The 4,494-nt window shown below is 46.6% G+C and overlaps 1 long non-coding RNA gene across 1 annotated transcript; it reads right to left on the minus strand.

Annotated features, from left to right (window-relative positions):
- Positions 1-256: 256 nt before the first annotated feature.
- LOC124904644 (uncharacterized) lies at positions 257-3,432 on the minus strand. Its single transcript, XR_007067147.1, has 2 exons — positions 2,960-3,432; positions 257-1,450 (listed from the first exon to the last, which is right to left on the minus strand). It is a non-coding gene; the product is annotated as an uncharacterized LOC124904644 (long non-coding RNA).
- Positions 3,433-4,494: the final 1,062 nt, after the last annotated feature.

The raw sequence follows: 4,494 nt of genomic DNA on the forward strand, positions 1-4,494 counted from the left end.
TTCTGACCAGTAAACTCAGACAAAAATGTACGTTGACAATTTTAAAGACATTTAAATGTTTATCTTATCAATAATTTGAACATCAACTTATTTATTAAAGACTTCTTTAAGTCATATAAACTTGGAACATACTTGGGTTTAGTAATTTATGAGCACTCATCTATTTATAAGTCAGTTTTGTAGCATATAGATACAACATATAACAATATATGTACATATATTTAAACACATCTAAACAAACATATACACACACATAAAGACTTTATAGTATTTATTTTAGAATTTTAGTCATGAGAGAGTAGCATAAACTTACTAGTTTATAAAAGACAGTTGGATCCATATTACAGATGACAAAATTGGAACTTGTTTACATGGCTTAAACTTTGTCTCAACAGATAACTTAATGAAGGCTGTGGATCAAAATTTTGGGTAAAGCAATTCTTATGGCAGTTTGATTTTAAAAACATCTTCTGCCCCTTTTTTCTTTAGTTCTAAATGATCTTAGGGTTAACATTTTAATGTTTATATTTTAGTTAGAACTGTCTGAATTGTCAAAAACACACACACACACAAAATCTCTAAGTAATTTTGCATTAGCAATACCATAAACAGTGAGCTTTATCTCAATACCAGTAGAAAAGTTAGCAGATTTAAAGTGGGCAGAAAAAAAAACAGAGAACTTAGAAGGCTCTGTGTGCTAACTCTAAAGTTATAAGTTGACCATCTGAGCTCTGAATTCCTTTTCTTTTTCTTTTTTTCAGAAGGAGTCTTGCTCTGTCACCCAGGCTGGAGTGCAGTGGCACGATCTCGGCTTACTGCAACGTCCGCCTCCTGGGATCAAGTGATACTCCTGCCTCAGCTTCTCAAGTAGCTGGGACTACAGGTGTGTACCACCACACCCAGCTAATTTGTGTATTTTTATTAGAGATGGAGTTTCGCCAAGTTGGCCAGGCTGGTTTCAAACTCCTGACCTCAAGTGATCCGCCCGCCTCGTCCTCCCAAAGTCCTGTGATTACAGGCTTCAGCCACCTCGCCCGGCCCTGAATTGTTTTAGTGTAATCTGTCCATCAATTTAAAATGTACAGAAGAACCAGCCATGATACATAGCCAGCTGTAGTCTCAAAAAAACCTGGCATATATTAATGTTTGAGAATTTTATTTTGTTTCTTAATCTCCCAGTTTAGAAAAAAATTTTTGGATCTGCATTTTTTAATCTTAAGTTTCATTTTCTTTTTGTAGTTGTTCCATTTGCTCTTTTCGTTTTACATTTATATATATTTTCCCCTTTTGAGGGAAGGAAATGTGTGCATTGTGAACTCCTAAAAATCTCTGCCTAAGAGATATATGGGAGCTGAGTGAACAAGGAAAAAGGGATGAACTCATATTGTTTCCGGAACCAAACTGGGTCTGGCTGCGTTTTCTTGAGGCCCGATAAGGAGAAGCAGACAAACTAGGAAAGAAAGGAATTTATTACTGTAACCAGACACAGGGAGAAGGCCAGAGATAATTCAAACAGACCAACTCAAAGAGTTACAATTTTCTTAGTGCTTACATAGGTTGGGGTTATGTGCCTATGTGCCGTATATCATTCGCCTTAAGTCTACTGGTAACTAATTTTGTTTCAACTAGAAGGTCAGAGGCAAAAAATGCTGTCTAAGTCTGATTAAAAGGGTCCTAGTACCTTCAAGGCCTGTCTACTGTGGTACTGGAGTGACTATTTCTTTTTCTTTCTTTCTTTTCTTTTCTTTTTTTTTTTGAGACGGAGTCTCACTCTGTCGCCCAGGCTGGAGTGCAGTGGCACAATCTCGGCTCACTGCAACCTCTGCCTCCTGCGTTCTAGTGATTCTCCTGCCTCTGCCTCCTGGGTAGCTGGGATTACAGGCGTGTGCCACCATGCCTGGCTAATTTTGTATTTTTAGTAGAGATGGGGGTTTCACCATGTTGGCCAGGCTGGTTTTAAACTCCTGACCTCCGGTGATCTGCCTGCCTCAGCCTCCCAAAATGCTGGGATTACAGGTGTGAGTCATCGCGCCTGGCCTGGAGTGATTATTTCTATCTTATCTCCTTTACAGCTTGACCCAGAGAGCTGCCTTAGACTCTCCAATGAATCTATTCAAACAGCTGCCTCTGTTACCTTGACTTGTCTCAGATTTTGTTACCCGAGATGGGTCCTGGCACTAGGAATGTAAGACTGTCTCTATTATTTTGACTTGTTCCAGGTTAGGGAGAAGCCTGTGCAAGGCTCCTACTGACCATATGTTTCATTTCTAGCTTTTATGTCTGGGCACCTATTTCCCTAGTTTGGACTATTTGCTCAATTTTTAAGGCAGCTCTGTGGAAATCTGTTTGTGTAACACAAGTGCTATGCAGGCCTGTCTGTGTGACTGTCATGTAGGCCTGGTTGTGTGGTTGTCAGGGAGAACTCTACTGCCACAATAGCACACGGGGTAAGAGGAGGGGAAACAGTTGGAGGTTTAGAAGCTTCTAAGTCCCACTGAAAGTCTCTCATTTAATTTTTCCGGTTCTAAGACTAGCAACTTTTTTTTTTCTTTCCTGAGGGGTGTCTCGCTCTATCGCCCAGGCTGGAGTGCAGTGGCGCTACCTCGGCTTACTGCAAGCTCTGCCTCCTGGGTTCAGGTTTACGCCATTCTCCTGCCTCAGCCTCCGGAGCAGCTGGGACTACAGGCACCTGCCACCACGCGCGGCTAATTTTTTTTTGTATTTTTAGTAGAGACAGGGTTTCACAGTGTTAGCCAGGTTGGTCTCGATCTCCTGACCTCATAATCCTCCCGCCTCGGCCTCCCAAAGTGTGGGATTACAGGTGTGAGCCACCGCACCCAGCCAAGACTAGCATCTTTTTTAATTGCCCACACAAATAAATCACTTAAGGCATTTCAAAAAGATCTCCATTTCAGCTATTGTTGCTTATAACCATCGTGGGTTAGGCAGGACCACTTACCTCAGCACTTGTAAATATGAAGACTTTTAAAAATAACTTTTCATGGCTGGGTGCAGTTGTGTCTGGAATTGGTGGGTTCTTGGTCTCACTGACTTCAAGAATGAAGCCGCGGACCCTCGTGGTGAGTGCTACAGCTCTTAAGGGGGCGCGTCTGGAGTTTGTCCCTTCTGATGTTCAGCTGTGTTTGGAGTTTCTTCCTTCTGGTGGGTTCGTGGTCTCGCTGGCTCAGGAGTGAAGCTGCAGACCTTCGCAGTGAGTGTTACAGCTCTTAAGGCAGTGCGTCTGGAGTTGTTCCTTCCTCCCAGTGGGCTCGTGGTCTCGCTGGCTTCAGGAGTGAAGCTGCAGACCTTTGCGGTGAGTGTCACAGCTCATAAAAGCAGTGTGGACCCAAAGAGCCAGCAGTAGCAAGATTTATTGCAAAGAGCAAAAGAACAAAGCTTCCACAGTGTGGAAGGGGACCTGAGTGGGTTGCCACTGCTGGCTCCTGCAGCCTGCTTTTATTCTCTTATCTGGCCCCACCCACATCCTGCTGATTGGTAGAGCCCAGTGGTCTGTTTTGACAGGGCGCTGATTGGTGTGTTTACAATCCCTGAGATAGATACAAAGTTCTCCACGTCCCCATCAGATTAGTTAGATACAGAGTAAGGACACAAAGGTTCTCCAAGGCCCCACCAGAGCAGCTAGATACAAAGTGTCCATGGTGCATTCACAAACCCTGAGCTAGACACAGGGTGCTGACTGGTGTGTTTACAAACCTTGAGCTAGATACAGAGTGCCGATTGGTGTATTTACAATCCCTGAGCTAGACATAAAGGTTCCCCACAGCCCCACCAGAGCAGCTAGATACAGAGTGTCGATTGGTGGATTCACAAACCCTGAGCTAGACACAGGGTGCTGATTGGTGTTTACAAACCTTGAGCTAGATACAGAGTGCCGATTGGTGTATTTACAATCCCTGAGCTAGACATAAAGGTTCTCCAAGGCCCCACCAGCCTCAGAAGCCCAGCTGGCTTCACCCAGTGGATCCCGCAGCAGGGCTGCAGGTGGAGCTGCCTGCCAGTCCCGCGCCATGTGCTCGCACTCCTCAGCCCTTGGGTGGTCATGGGACTGGGCGCCCTGGAGCAGGGGGCGGCGCTCGTCGGGGAGGCTCGGGCTGCACAGGAACCCACGGAGACGGGGGAAGGCTCAGGCATGGCGTGCTGCAGTCCCGAGGCCTGCCCCGCGGGAAGGCAGCTAAGGCCTGGTGAGAAATTGAGCGCAGAACCGGTGGGCTGGCACTACTGGGGGACCTAGTACACCCTACGCAGCTGCTGGCCCGGGTGCTAAGTCCCTCATTGCCCGGGGCCAGCAGGGCCGGCTGGCTGCTCCCAGTGCGGGGCCCGCCAAGCCCACGCCCACCCGGAACTCCAGCTGGCCTGCAAGCGCCCCGCGCAGCCCCGGTTCCCGCTCGCGCCTCTCTCTCCACACCTCCCTGCAAGCTGAGGGAGTGGGCTCCGGCCTTGGCCAGCCCAGAAAGGGGCTCCCACAGTGCAGCG

Source organism: Homo sapiens, chromosome 19, assembly GCF_000001405.40.
Source record: "Homo sapiens chromosome 19, GRCh38.p14 Primary Assembly".
Classification (NCBI taxonomy): Eukaryota; Metazoa; Chordata; class Mammalia; order Primates; family Hominidae; genus Homo; species Homo sapiens.